Raw genomic sequence first — 14,619 nt, 5'->3', positions numbered from 1 at the left:
CGCCGCTCGTCATGAGACATCAAGCTATCCAAGTCAATATCCTATTAGTAGGGATGGCATATTATAGAAGGTGGAAAGATCTCACCTGCCCCAGCTGGAAACAGTGATTCCATTGCCCCAGATTCGGAATTGTGATTTAAACTAGGCCTCTCTTCAGGCATCAGAACCAAATAAGAGTGGTTTATATGTGCAAGGAACTAATGCCCCAGCTATTGGGCAAATTCCTCTGACTCCTCCCTGATGGAACTAATTCTTCTGTGCCCAGATCCTAGAGACAAGATCCTTAAGGTCTGAGTACAAGTTCCACTTCAGGATGGCGCTGCTGCACAGCAGGGCACCTTGCAGGGCCCCTACCAGTCCACAGGTGAAGATACCCTGGCCTAGGAGGCAAGAGCAGAGGCCCCTGAGTGTGCACCCAGGCAGGCCCAGGGGAGGGTGGGGCCTTGGTGCTCTTCCCTCCACATGAGGGCCACCCAGAGCTGGCTCCAATCAGACAGGGGCCACAGCCTGCCCAGGCAGCCCTGCTCAGGGGATGGGAGGCTGCAGGGGACAGCAGGGCCTGAGGGCAGGAACAGAGGACGTTGGGCGACAGGGGCCCAGGGTCTCAGGTCCTGACAACATGGGGCAGTGAGTATACCTGTCAGAGGTTGGTGATGGGGCTCTGGGCCTTCAAGGCCATCACACGAGGGTGCAGGCGGCCCAGGTCATGGTCAGCCCTGTAGCAGACACCTCGGGGAGCAGCCAGAACTGGTTGGTGAGTGGGGATCCTGCAGTCACACTCTCCACCTGAGGGCAGAAAGGGTGGGGCAGGCATGTGAGATCCTGGCTCCCCTCCCTCTTCCACTCTTTCCCATTCACTGACTCCGGGGTTGGGTGCCCTGTCCTTCCCTGGGGCTCATGTCTTGGGGCCCAATTCCCCTGTCTCAAGGAAAGGGCAGAAATAGCACCATGAGGTCCGTCACCACCCCAAATACTTTACCCCCTACCTTCCCCTCCAGCTGTGGGAACAGTTTCAGGACCACTGACATAGAGGCTTCCACAAAGAAGTTTTTGAAGGTCTCATAGTCACTGCCCTACTTTCCCTTCAGTTCCACCTGCCACTCCTCAAACCACTCGTAGGTGCTGGGTATGAGCATGATCATGGTGGACCGGCCTGGGGATCAGAGCTGATATTACTACTGCCCGGCCCCTCCCTCCACCCCCTCACCCAGGACGTGCAGCCCCCCGTGGGAATCGGTCCTCCCAGGTCGGATCCTTGGCTGATGGGAAAGCGAAGAAGAGAAGAGGGATGTGTTCCGCAGCCTCTTCCCTGGGCATGGAGATGTAGCGCTCCATCCTGCGTGTGACAAGAGTGTGGTGCGATCTCCAGGCTTTTGTCCTCAAAACCCCAGAACCACTGCAAGGACTGCTCGTCCCTAGGGACTCCCCACAGGGGTGAAGCTGAGCCACAGCCTTGGTGTGACAAACTTCCAGGTGCAAATTGGAAATTGCCTACTTCCTCCCATTCCATAACTTCTGCTCGTTCTCTGAGTCAAGCAGGGAGGCACGGGCCACACACACACGTGCACCTTACGCCTGGTCCATGTCCGTGTCATAGTAAACATAGTAGTTGGTGGACGGCAGATGCAGGTCCTCCTTGGTGCCTCGCAGGCAGATGAAAACAGAGGTCATGCCTAAGCCGGGCTGAACTGTCCCCAGCTGCTGCTTCACACCTGCAAAGGGGAGTGGTTGGTGCCTTTGTGGACCATGGCCGGAGACAGCCACTCCCTGCTCCCAGGAGAGCCTCAGGGTGACCGCTCGCTGTGTCCTGAGCCTTATCTTCAGTTGCCAGCTTTGTGCCCAGGCCACTTTTACAGCTGTTTCAACTTGATGTTGGCAGGGGCCTGCTCTTCTGTGTCCTCCTGCCTGGGAAGGACACTGCCCCAGGTTCCTATTCTTCCACCTCCCCTGCCTCTGCTCCAAGCCCCTTCAGAGGCAGGTAAAGCCCAGCCCTGGTCCTCAGCCCCCATGAGCTGGCTCAGCACCTGCAGGAAGGTCAAGCTTACTGCCTCCCATCTTCCCCTTCGTGTCTTGAAGTGTGGAGCACATGACTGGGTTCCCCCCATGAAGACCACACATGAACAGCAGCTCATTACCAGCCTGATTTCAGGATGAACTTTTATGCAGTCACGGAGTGAGTGAACATGCATGATTCTTAGTGTGACATCAGAACACAAGGCCTCCAGAGGGATGCCAATGCATGTGAGCAAAGGCAGGCAGCCTGACTGGTACTTGGCATCTCAGGACTCAGCTGGAGGGAGGAGGGAAGAACTACACTATGGCAGAGGCCACAGCCACTGTGGGGCACCTGATGTTCCCCAGACCTAAACAGCTGGGCTTCCCCACTCCTCAGCAGATGACCTGAGACCGGTGTTCCGGAAACTGCCCCCACAGATTCTTCTGCTGTCTTCCCATTCCCGTGCCAGAGGGATGCCGGGTCCCTGGCTCCTCTGCTTTTTCCATTTTTTAAAAAATTTATTTATTTTTAGATGGAGTCTTGCTCCGTCGCCCAGGCTGGCATGCAGTTGCGCGATCTCTGTTCACTGCAACCGCCTCCCGTGCTCAAGCGATTCTCCTGCCTCAGCCTCCCAAGTAGCTGGGATTACAGGCATGTACCACCACACCCACTAATGTTTGTATTTTCGGTAGAGATGGGGTTTCACCACGTTGGCCAGGCTATTTTCAAACTCCTGACCTCAAGTGATCTGCCTGCCTCGTCCTCCCAAAGTGCTGGGATTGAAGGCGTGAGTCACCGTGCCCGGCCTGCTTCGTTCATGTAACTAAATATTTGTGAGGCCCTCAGGTTGTGTTCAGGAGGAAGAGACACAGGAACACAGATGGAGGGCAAGAGGGACAGATGGCTCTAGCTGGGCTGCCTGGGTGAGATGCTGGGGCCTGGCCAGGACAGTGTCAGTTCCCAGAGGTCCTGGGACAGGGGAGAAGGGAGGTCAGGGTCACAGAGAGAGAGGCAGGAAGTAGCAAAGGCAGAGTCTGCCTGTGCACCAAGCCCGACCCCCCTGCTCTGCCCCTGGGCCGTCTCTACCTCACCCCCTCAGCTCCCCCGGTCTGAGAGAGGGGAGGCCGAGCAGGCTGCAGACCCAGCCACATGGGGCAGGGGAAGGAGAGGCTGGCATTGGTGGAGCCACCCACTGCACTGCCAGTCATACAAAGAAGTCTATCACACAGAATTATGTGCAGTATTTTTTTTTTTTGAGACAGAGTTTTGATCTTGTCTCTCAGGCTGGGTTGCAATGGCACAATCTCGGCTCACTGCAACCTCCACCTCCTGGCTTCAAGCGATTCTCTGGCCTCAGCCTCCCGAGTAGCTGGGACTACAGGCGGCCGCCACCATGCCCGGGTAAGTTTTGTATTTTTAGTAGAGAGGTTTCACCATGTTGGCCAGGCTGGTCTCGAACTCCTGACCTCAGGTGATCTGCCCGTCTCGGCCTCCCAATGTGTTGGGATTACAGGCGTGAACCACCGCGCCTGGCCTATAGTACTTTTTAATGAACGAAATGACTATGTTACTGGTTTATGTATTTGCTATATTTTTATTGTTTTAAACAAAAAAGTTTAAGAAGTAAAAAAAAAAATGTTTTTGTTTTTGTTTTCTTTGAGAGGGAGTCTCGCATTGCTGCCCAGGCTGGAGTACAGTGGCATGATCTCAGCTCACTGCAACCTCCGCCTCCCGGGTTCAAGAGATTCTCCTGCCTCAACCTCCCTAGTAGCTGGGATTACAGGCGCCCGCCACCGTGTCCGGCTAATTTTTATATTTTTAGTAGAGTTGGGGTTTTGAGGTCATGGTCTCAAACTCTTGATCTCAAGTGATCTGCCCACCTTGGCCTCCCAAAATGCTGAGATTAGCAGGCATAAGCTACTGCACCCAGCCCCAAAAAAGACTTTAATTAGAAAAAAGCTCATAGAATAAGGATATAAAGAAAATATCTTTGTGCAGCTGTACAGTGTATTTGCGTTTTAAGCTAAGTGTTATTACAAGAGTCAAAAAGTGTTTAAGTTGATAAAGTAAAAAAGTTAAACTAAGGTTAATTTATTCTTGAAGAAAGAAGAATATTTCTTTATAAACCTAGTGTTGCCTAAGTGTACAGCGTCATGGTTACTCACCACTCACTGACGCACCCAGAGCAGCTGCCAGTCCTGCAAGCTCCATGCCTGGGAAATGCCCTATACAGCTATGCCATCTTTTATCTTGTTTTTTGTTTTTTTTTTCCCCAAGACAGAATTTTGATCTTGTTGCCCAGGCTGGAGTGCAACGGTGCGATCTCGGCTCACCGCAACCTCTGCCTCCTGGGTTCAAGCAATTCTCCTGCCTCAGCCACCTGAGTAGCTGGGATTACAGGCGCCCACCACCACGCCCAGTTACTTTTTGTATTTTTAGTAGAGACGGGGTTTCATCATGTTGGCCAGGCTGGTCGCTAACTCCTGACCTCAGGTGATCCACCCTGCTCGGCCTCCCAAAGTGCTGGGATTACAGGCTTGAGCCACTGCACCCGGCCCATCTTTTATCTTTTACACCAGATTTTACTGCACCTTTTCTATGTTTTGTTTCTGTTTTTTTTGAGAAAGAGTCTCACTCTGTCGCCCAGGGTGGAGTGCAGTGGTGCGCTTTCGGCTTACTGCAAACTCTGCCTCCCGGGTTCAAGTGATTCTTGTGCCTCAGCCTCCTAAGTAGCTGGGATTACAGGCATGTGCCACACACCTGGCTAATTTTTGTATTTTTAGTAGAGATGGGGTTTCAACATGTTGGCCAGGTTGGTCTCGAACTCCTGACCTCAAGTGATCCACCTGCCTGACCTCAAGTGATCCACCTGCCTCGGCCTCCCAAAGTGCTGGGATTACAGGCGTGAGCCACCACGCCCAGCCACCTTTTCTATGTTTAGATACATAAACACTCACCACTGTGTCACAGTCACCTACAGTATTCAGTACAGTAGCATATGCTGTACAGGCTTGTAGCCTAGGAGCAATAGGCTATACCATATAGCCTAGGTGTGTACACCATCTAGGTTTTTCTAACTACACTCTATGATGTTCACACAATAAAATTGCCCAACGACGCATTTGTGAGAACGTTGTCTCAGTTGCTAAGCGATGCATGACTGTATATGAAATGTCTAGAATAGACAAGTTTGGAGACAGAAAGTAGATTAGTGGTTGCCTAGGGCTGGGGGAGATGGGCAAAATGTGGAGTGATTTTCAAAGGATATGGGGCTTCCTTTGGGACTGACAAAAACTTTCTAAAATTGACTGGTGATAGGTGCACAACTCTGAACATACAGCCAATGAATTGTCTACTTTTTTTTCTTTTCTGAGATGAAGTTTTGCTCTGTTGCCCAGGCTGGAGTGCAATGGCGCTGTCTCGGCTCACTGCAACCTCCACCTCCCGGGTTTAAGCGATTCTCCTGTCTCAGCCTCCCAAGTAGCTGGGATTACAGGTGCGCACCATCATGCCTGGCTAATTTTTGTATTTTTAGTAGAGACGGGGTTTCGCCATGTTGGCCAGGCTGGTCTCGAACTCCTGACCTCAGGTGATCCACCCGCCTCGGCCTCCCAAAGTGCTAGGATTACAGGTGTGAGCCATCGCACCCAGCCTGAATTGTATACCTTTTTTGTTTGAGGCAGAGTCTTACTCTGTTGAGAAGGCTGGAATGCAGTGGCACAATCATAACTCACTGCAGTCTTGAGCTCCTGAGCTCAAGCAATCCTCCTGCCTCAGCCTCCTGAGAAGCTGGGACTACAGGCTTGTGTGCCACCATCCCCAGCTAGTTGCTTTTTTTTTTTTTTTTAAAGAGATCAGGTCTTGCTATGTTGCCCAGGCTAGTCCTGAACTCCTGGCCTCAAGTCATCTTCCTGCCTCAGCCTCTCAAAGCATTGGGATTATAGGCAAGAGCGGCTCTGCCCAGCTGAACTGTATACTTTAAATGGGTGAAGTGTAACTTTAAATGGCTGAAGTATATCTCCATAAAGCTGTTACAAAAAATTAATTGTGGTGCTAGATACTATGGAAAGTATCCAAAAGATGCTTCCTCACATCTTGGCAATTACGAGTCAAATGGGTGATAGAAGCATAAGCTGAATGTCATTCCAGGCGGCAAATTCATTTAAATCAGCTGTGAAAATGATTACCCCCTTTGCAGCTCAGTCATGGACACTGACTGGCCCATGCACATTTGAGACAGGAAGCTGGGTTCAGGTTTTCTAAGGGTGTCAGGCATGCCTAACATTCCCCTGTGGCAAGTGGCAATCTTCCTTTGCATATCTGCGAAAGTCTAACACAGGGTTTGGGAGTGAAACAAACAGGTGGTTTGATTCAACAAAAGCACTAAAGAAACACTCAGAAAAGGTCTTGCAACTGCAATTTTATTTTCTTTTGTGAAAATAAACAACTGGGAGTTTAAATTGCTCCAAAAACCATAAAAACAAAAAGAAATACACACAGAAGAAGCATGTGAGGTGATGGGGAAGGGAACAGGGTCTCTAGAACTTTGGCAGATTGTGCTGGCACGGACCCAGGTGACAGGAGCCAGACCATGGGGCCGGTCCCGCCTGCCACTCTGGGATTGTGAAGGGATGATCGCCACTGGCAAGGACGGGGAGGAACACAGACTTCTTCGCTGAGGAAGTGGCAGGCACCTTGAGTCCCTTTAAATGCGGGGGTTGGGAGGAAACCATTTCAGAGGACCGCTTTCTCCACTGAAAGCTGGGGCTGGCGAGTTCGGGCCCACTGAGGGAGGGGACGCTGGTGGCAGCAAATCAGGCCAAGATGTCTTCTCACATGGTGATGGCCTCACACTGGGCAGAGGACAGAGGACGAAGAAGAACCCACGGTATTGAGCAGACGATGAAAACTTGGGCTGGGTAACAGGAAATGTCACAATGGCAGAGCTGCAGATGGAGTCGGGGAAGCTGGGGCAGGCGGCAGGGGCGAGAAGAGACAGGAGACAGAAAGTGCAAGAGAGGTAAGAGAGAGAAGTGCCCTCTGCCCAGGTCCATCCACCACAGCACCTACAGGACGAATAGCACGCTACTTTTCAGTTCTCTTTCTTATAAAGATTTTTTTTTGTTGTTTTGTTTTGTTTTTTAAAAAAGCCTTAAGATCAGCTACTGGTTACATCTACAAACTGTAAAGTGCTGTTGTTACCAGCCACTTTACAGAACAGTCCAGAGTGGTCAAATATTGACCAATAAAGTCTCCTTTTTCTTTTTCTTCTGAATCATTACTACTCAATGAGTCATGTGACAGCCTGCAGGGGTCGGGGGGAGCTTAGTGGGCAGACTTGGTGACCAGGGAAAGAGGCTGGGCCTGTAGCACCGGGAGGGCCTGGTGGGCATGGAGCGTGGCGGGGAAGGACGGGGGAGAGGCCAGCAGAGCTGTGGGCATGGACCCAAGGGGGAGGGGCCGGGACAGGAGGGGAGGCTGGCTGCCCATCTGCCCAGAGGAGGAGGCTGCAGCCTTAGCCGACAGGAAGGCGGCAGAGTGGAGAGCCAGCTGGGCCCGGGTTTCTGGTTTGGTGGTGAGGGAGAGGGGCTGGGCTTGCTCCGAATGGGTGGCAGCAGGGGCAGCTGGTGAGGCCAAAGCTGCAGAGGGAGTGGCCGGGGAGTCCAGCATGCTCCCGTGGGAGGAGGCAGGGCTGTCACAGGGCTTCTCGGGGGGCAGGTACTGAACACATGGCTTCTTGCTCTTGGAGGCCAGGGCACCTAGGGGGAAAATACAAGAAAGAGTGAGCAGCTATAGCTCTGTGAGAGGAGGAGGCTGAGGAACAGCCCTGGCGATACATGTGCTTTGGAGACACAGGGATGATTTTGGCGAGGACCTGACATTACTTCCAAGGCTTTCAAGACTAGGAAACTGCATTCACAAATACCCAGAGCACAGAGAAGAGGCAACGCCCAAACTGATGAAGATCCACCCAGCATCAGATCGGAGAGAAGACGGCTCAGTGTCTCACAGGACCACCCTCCTTTCCTAAAGCTGGTAACTTTTGGGATGAATCTCCAGTTTGCTTTGAAATCTTTGGTTTATGGTATTAATACAGTCAGAGAGAGTGCATGCCTGCTGAACAGCGTGCCAGACAGCGGGTTCTGTAGCAGGTACGGGTTCCACTCATGTGCGCTCCTATGTATAATGGAAGGAAGGAAGGAAGGGAGGAGGGGAGGCAAGGAAATAGGGAGGGAGGGAAGGAGAAAGGGAGGGCGGAAGGAGAAAGCGAGGGAAGAAGAAAGGGAGGGGGGGAAGGGAGGGAAGGAGGGGGAGAGGGAGGGAAAGAGAGGGAGGGAAAGAGAAAGGGAGGGAGAAAAGGAGGGAGGGAAGGGGAAAGGGAGGGAAGGAGAATGGGAGGGAAGGTGAAAGGGAGGGAGGAAGAAAGGGAGGGAGGGAGGAATGAAGAAGAGAGATTGAAAGCACTTTACATCGTGCAAGCAGCGATACACTTGTCCTGGAGTGAGCATGAGATGGGGGGCGTGACCTAAATATTAATAATAATCGTCACAGTGTGAGCATCTTTCTGTGCTAGGCATGATTCTGGTAATATAGAGATTTTATACATGGTTTTGACACAAAGTGCCTCCTAAACCCAAGCAAACTAATTTTTTCTGGTGTTCAACCAAAGAAACATCCAAGGAAACCCGGGCTCCCCTGGATCCACTGACAGGTGGGATGTCAGGGGCTCATGTGCTGCCTTCCTAAGGGTATTTCAAAGACAATTTCAACCTCATTCCATTAACCCTCAGGTAGGATGATTCACTTTTCAATGGAATTAGATTGTCTAGGCTTTGAAGTGACAAAGTCCTGGGATCAAATCCTACCACCACCACTGAAGCAGAGTGCCTGGGAAAATGCCTTCACATCTCAGAGCCTCTTAAGTGGCCACCTCGAGAAAGGGGTAATAATACCCGCCCGCGAATACCGAGGCAGAAGCCCTGACCCATCAGGGAGCTAGAGACAGCATGGGCAGGTGTGGCTGTGACAAAAGGAAAAGCAGGAGAAGAGGCCAGTGCCCCGAGACGCACCCTCTGCCTCCTGGACTTGCTGCTGTGACTGTGTCTGGGACAGCTGCTTTTCTCTCTTCCTCTTCTTTTTCTTACCCTGGAAAATACAGCCAAAGGAAGAGGTAAGCTGGGAGAGAAGAATGCTGGCTTCTCAGGGGCTCCCAGATCAGAGAGAAGACAGGACGTTGCCCTTTACTGCTCTCGATCCCTCAGGGAGAGTGTGGAGAGATAATTCAGATCACAGCCGTGGGAGCCCGTGAGGAGGCAGAGGGAGCCCTTCCTCCCCTACAAACGCGTTTCCCCTCCAGGTCGGGTGTCCAGGCCTTCTTGGAAGGCCTCCTCCCTCCACTGCCCTTCAGACTCTGTTTTTCTGTTTCTCTCCCTAGAACAGTGCTTCTAGATCTTTTCTGAGGGGTCCCAGGTCCCTTTGAAAGTTTGATGCAACTGTGGGTCCTCTTACCAGAAAAAAAGCAAAGAAGAACACGCATGCGAAAATTGGCTTGGTTTCCGGGAGCTTAGAGACACGCCCCCTGAGGCTCACACACTGGTCTTTGAGCCCTGGGTTAGGAGTGGCTGGAGACAACTCTTCCTACCACAGCTAACCCCGTGCCCTGTGTTATGAAATCGAGGGCAGAGTCCAGTTCAAAGGGAAATGCATCAACTGAAGTCCGTCCTCAGGACTTGTTGACCTCCTGAGAATTAAAACACCTTCCTTATTTCTAGAGAAGTATGGGCTTCTCCCTGATCTTAAGAGTCCTCTATAAATGCAGTCGCTGGCCGGGCGCGGTGGCTCACGCCTGTAATCCCAGCGCTTTGGGAGGCCGAGGTGGGCGGATCACGAGGTCAGGAGCTCGAGACCATCCTGGTTAACACAGTGAAACCCCGTCTCTACTAAAAATACAAAAAATTAGCCGGGTGTGGTGGCAGGTGCCTGTAGTCCCAGCTACTCGGGAGGCTGAGACAGGAGAATGGTGTGAACCGGGGAGGCGGAGCTTGCAGTGAGCCGAGATCGCGCCACTGCATGCACTCCAGCCTGGGTGACAGGGTGAGCCTCTGTCTCAAAAAATAAAAGAAAATAAAATAAATAAAAATAAATGCAGTTGCTTTCCTTCACCCTTCCTCCTCTTGCAGAGGCTGTTCCTGGGGTCTGAGCGTCCTCTGCCCAGAGTGTGCACTTACATAGTTGTCCCGGGCTGACCAGGTTGGGTAGAGCTGCGAGTGAAGCTGCCGCTCCTTCCGGGCCAGCTCGTAGTACTTGGCCTGTTCTTCTCGAGACAGGTTGTGCCACTGGGGGAGAGAGGGTCAGAGACCACACGGAGCCATCAATGCAGGGACGCTGCCTCCCTGGCCTGGAGGGAGAGGGCAGGTCTTACCTTTCTTCCAAGGATCTGGTTAATGGCTGCACTTTCCTTCAGGGTGCACTCAGCCACCACCTTGGCCCTCATCTCCTTCATATACAACATGAAGGCATTCAGAGGCTTCTTCACGTGGGGCTTCTTTTCCTCCTCCTTTTTCACGGTGACTGGTGATTTCCTGGGAAGGCACGTGGTTGTAGGTTAGCATGTCAGGTGTCACACAACTCATCAATCCCCACCTGTCACTGAAACACCGCTGATTGTCTCTGGGGAGGGGCGCGGGCTGCCTGGATGCTAATTCAAGTGGCCCCATGGCTGCACTCAACACCTGAGTACCTTCCTCCCGTAGTTTCCCACCTTTGAACGATCTCCACGCCAGATTCTTTGAAAATCTACTCTCCAATTTCCTGACAGAGGAACAGAGCATGGTGGGGTTGCTGAGATGAGCTCTCACTGGAGCTGGCAGGTGCTGGCGGCGGTGACAGGACACAGTGTGGGGCACTCTGGGCAGAACCAAGTTGGGAGGGGGTTCTCTTGGGATCTCCAGGGAGCACTGACTTTGGCTTCCTGCCATCTTTATGGTACACGGGCAAGGTAAGGACCCTGGTGCTCATCTCAGCTCGGCCACCAGCCCACCACAAGTCCTTAAGAAAACACTGTCTCCTTTCTGGGCCTCACCTTTTCATATATCTTACGGTGGGGTGTTAAAAGCTTTCTCAGGTTCTCTTTCAGCCTCTGAGACCTGACAGTAAAACTTTCCTTAATAAGAGAGAAGATGCACCATGTCCCTGAAAGGACAGGGACCCAGAAGGTCAGAGGGAGTAAGTCCCGAGGAAGAGGGAGGGCCTGGCTGGGGAGGCTGTGATGCCTGCTGAGTGACACCAAGAGAGAAGAGTACATGACATTTGCTGCTCAGAGTGTGGCCACCCCTCCCCACAGCCTGCACCCTCCCACCTGAATCCAGGCTGCCGCTTACTTACACGCTCACTGCAGGGCTCAGGCTGGGGGGTGCCGGTTCCTGCTTGACGATGGGGGAGACGATGGCAGGGTGGGGGATCCCTGAGGTGGGCAGGCCAGGGTGGGCAGGAGCCACCATGTGAGGAGAGAACCGACTGGAGACCAGGCTGTGCACCGGATAGAAACAAATGGCAACAGAGGGGTTCAGGCTGGATACCTGCCACCCAGCAGAGGACACGGTGGCTCTCTGCCTTAAGGGCACAGGCATGTCCGTGGGGCAGAGTCTCAGGACTAGAAGGCTATTTGTCGTCTTCTAGAAAACCAGGTTTGGGAGATGCTTAATGGCTCTTCCTTCTCCCCACCAACACCCAGGCTGCCCATCTGGTGCTGGAAGCAGGTGGGATGAAACACACAAAAGGGGAGGAGGGTCAGAGGCCCGGGCATACTGGGGAAAAGAAGGGCTTAGGCTGTGGGCAGCTTTCCTCTGTCCTCAGAGGTTCCACTGTCAGGTAGAGCTGGTCCCTGAGACAGAAATCCCCTTTCACCGTCTCCTCTCCTGACATCATTTCAGGAAAAATTCATCTTCTCCCAGTCCCTAGCTTCAGTGTGATATACAGACAGTCCGTGACTTAGGATATTTTGACTTTACGATGGTGCAAAAACGATATTAATTCAGTACTCTCCTTGACCTAGATGGGGTTATGTCTGGATAAAACCATCATATGTTGCAAATATTCTAAGGGGAAAGTTGTGTTTTCAATGTACGACGGGTTTATCAGGACGCGGCTCCATCCTAAGTCGGGGAGCATCTGTCCTCAAAATGCTTCAGTGCCAGAGCCCATGGCAGGAGGCAGAGTGCTAGGGCTTTGCAATCCTTCTGTTGGAGAGATGGGGACAGTGATCCTGTGGTCTCCATTCTGACCTGGGGGTGGGGAGCGCGGGACGTGAGAAGATGCTTGATCAAAGAGAGGTGGGGGGAGGGTGAGCCCTGTGCCTGCTCATTAACTGGCAAGAAAAAGCTGTTTCGTGGTCAGAAATGGCGTGGTTGCTAAGACAAACATGCGGACAGCCCCAGCCCCGGGACTCACCTGGACATCGAGGCGTTCATGGCGAGGGCGGGGTAAGGGTGCCGGAAGCCACCGGGAGGAAGGGAGTACATGGGCTGGCCTTGCCTGTGAGGGGGAGGAAATCTGGTCAGCATATTGGGAAAGCTCAGGGCAGAGGAAGAGAGGCACTTGGGAAGAAGGGATGAGAAATATGGGAAGGAAGCGGGAAGGTAATGCTGGGAGCACGCTGCCTGGGCGGGGGCAGGGAGGCCTAGTCCTGGGCTTGCCTCTGAGGGGGCTCCACTGTGCAGGGCGCGCAGGGCACAGAGGCAGAGCTCAGCGCAAGGAGGGAGCAGGGGGAAGAGAGGCTGTGGGTTCCTTACTGTGGGACGAGCCAGCCGAGGGGGTGGGGGATTTGTCCGACAGCTCCGGGAGAGAGTGGGTAATACGGTGACAGCTCGGATGGGTGAGGGGGCCGGGGGATTCCTGCTTCCAAAGAGAGATATGTCAGACTGTTCCCTCGCCCTGCCAGAGCACCTTAACGAACATCAAATGGGAGCATCCTGCCCTATGTCCCTGGTGCTCTGGAGCCTAGCAGGTGCTTGTGTCATTGTCCTTGCCCTCTGTCAACTCCCTAGCAGCTCTCACCAGTCAGTCAAGGACATATTCAGGGGAGGCAGGACTAATGCACCCCCTCTCTAGCTGCACGGATTCTATCTCTGTGAAGAGTATCTTCCAGCTGGCTGTGATACAGAAGCCAGCGTCCTGGAAGAGAGGGACAGGACCCACAAGACCAATGACAAGAGTCACTGGTGAACCAAGTCTCTAGAAAGCCCGCCTCATTCATGGAGAAATAAACTTTGGATTCCTCCTCCACATGTGTCTTCCTCATTATCTGTAACTTGTAGTGACTGTTATTTCTCCAAAGAGGGGCTCCAAAAATGCTTTGCCTTCCCCTGGCAACTCTGTGTGAATGCTATAAAGACAGTGGCTCCCTGGAATGGACAGGTCTGGTGGGCAAGTTAAAAAAAAAAAAAAGAAAAAAAAGCCAGTTCAGGTTGGGCATGGTGGCACACCGGTAATCCCGGCACTTAGGTGAGTTGACTGCTTGAGTCCAGGAGTTTGAGACCAGCCTGGGCAACATGGCAGAAACCCATCTCTACTAAAAATACAAAAATTAGCTGGGCAAGGGCATGGTGGCATGCGCCTGTGGTCCCAGCAACTCGGGAGGCTGAGGGAGGAGGACTGCTTGAGCCCGGGAGGTCAAGGCTGCAGTGAGCTGAGATCACACTACTGCACTCCAGCTTGGGCGACACAGCAAGACTGTCTTAAATAAATAAATAAATAAAAGCCAGTTTGGCCTCACTGCTTTACGGTTGCACTTCTGTGTCTGCTTAGACTGATGAATCTATTTAAAAATGTTCAGTTTAGGGCAAACATGTCTTGGTGTAGGGAAGCACGGCCCACAGCTGGGCTAGACTTGGGCAGAGCCACCCCACACACTGCCTATGGAGCCAGGCCCTGTGCTTTACTGCATTTAATTCCTGTGGGCCTTATCGTGACCCTATGGTGGAGAAGGTACAGGGGAGGCACAGATGAAAAAAAAAATGACAAGGCTAAAGTTAGCAGACAAGGTCCAAAGACTCCTGAGACAAAGAGCCATGATTTGAACCCAGGTCAGCCTGATTCAAGGGCTGTTATGTTCCCACAAAAGAGAAGCCCGCCTGCCCTGCAGCAGCACTGCCTGAGTGGCAGACGACTTACCTGTCTTTGGATCGATCTCTGGGGAGAGGTGGGTGGGAGGGGAGCCGGGGGAGAAGTGGTCATTGCTGTAGGTGATGAGGGGAGTCAGCGGATGCATGTGATGCGGGTGCTGAACGACAGGAACTTTATTAGACTGAAAGAGACAAAAAAGACCAGGAATGGTTGCCAAGGAGATGGAGAGTATGACCAGCTGTTATTTATGGAATCAAGTAAGTGCCAGGTATTTTCCAGGCAACATCCCATTCAGTCCTCAAAACAGTCCCTGAGAGATGACAGCAGTGGACACAGCAGAGCAGCAGGACTTGAGAAGGGATCACACCCACCCTCCATCGCTCCCCTCACGTGCACTGTGTGTGGGAAACAGTACAGGCTTCTGGGGAATGATCTGCGCTGTGTCATCTCAAACACTACAGGCTGCTGAGGGATGATCTGCGCTGTGTCATCTCATTGAA

The 14,619-nt window shown here is 52.6% G+C and overlaps 1 protein-coding gene across 2 annotated transcripts in view, besides 3 other annotated features; it reads right to left on the bottom strand.

Annotated features, from left to right (window-relative positions):
* Positions 2,899-3,399: an enhancer, noted in NCBI's record as "H3K4me1 hESC enhancer chr2:85540508-85541008 (GRCh37/hg19 assembly coordinates)". NCBI's record gives its function as "activates a minimal SCP1, AML or CMV promoter by ChIP-STARR-seq in naive H9 embryonic stem cells {active_cell/tissue: H9 hESC(naive)}" and the evidence as "EXISTENCE:reporter gene assay evidence [ECO:0000049][PMID:30033119]".
* Positions 6,265-7,148: an enhancer, noted in NCBI's record as "H3K27ac-H3K4me1 hESC enhancer chr2:85536759-85537642 (GRCh37/hg19 assembly coordinates)". NCBI's record gives its function as "activates a minimal SCP1, AML or CMV promoter by ChIP-STARR-seq in naive H9 embryonic stem cells {active_cell/tissue: H9 hESC(naive)}" and the evidence as "EXISTENCE:reporter gene assay evidence [ECO:0000049][PMID:30033119]".
* TCF7L1 (transcription factor 7 like 1) overlaps positions 6,397-14,619 on the bottom strand; it is a 176,996-nt gene continuing 168,773 nt past the window's right edge. Inside the window, exons 5-12 of one of the 2 annotated variants that reach the window (XM_006712109.3) lie at positions 14,168-14,300; positions 12,787-12,892; positions 12,446-12,529; positions 11,381-11,524; positions 10,419-10,578; positions 10,225-10,332; positions 9,067-9,142; positions 6,397-7,755 (exon numbers count right to left, since the gene is read on the bottom strand). In XM_006712109.3, the coding sequence (XP_006712172.1) occupies positions 7,322-7,755; positions 9,067-9,142; positions 10,225-10,332; positions 10,419-10,578; positions 11,381-11,524; positions 12,446-12,529; positions 12,787-12,892; positions 14,168-14,300 (1,245 nt within the window). In that variant the 3' untranslated portion in view covers positions 6,397-7,321. The remainder of the gene's footprint in view (positions 7,756-9,066; positions 9,143-10,224; positions 10,333-10,418; positions 10,579-11,380; positions 11,525-12,445; positions 12,530-12,786; positions 12,893-14,167; positions 14,301-14,619) is intronic. The other variant, NM_031283.3, reaches the window with a different exon arrangement.
* Positions 10,071-10,571: an enhancer, noted in NCBI's record as "H3K4me1 hESC enhancer chr2:85533336-85533836 (GRCh37/hg19 assembly coordinates)". NCBI's record gives its function as "activates a minimal SCP1, AML or CMV promoter by ChIP-STARR-seq in primed H9 embryonic stem cells {active_cell/tissue: H9 hESC(primed)}" and the evidence as "EXISTENCE:reporter gene assay evidence [ECO:0000049][PMID:30033119]".

The sequence above is a fragment of the Homo sapiens genome, chromosome 2 (genome assembly GCF_000001405.40).
Source record: "Homo sapiens chromosome 2, GRCh38.p14 Primary Assembly".
Taxonomy (NCBI): domain Eukaryota; kingdom Metazoa; phylum Chordata; class Mammalia; order Primates; family Hominidae; genus Homo; species Homo sapiens.
This window is presented reverse-complemented; position numbering and strand designations above follow the sequence as displayed.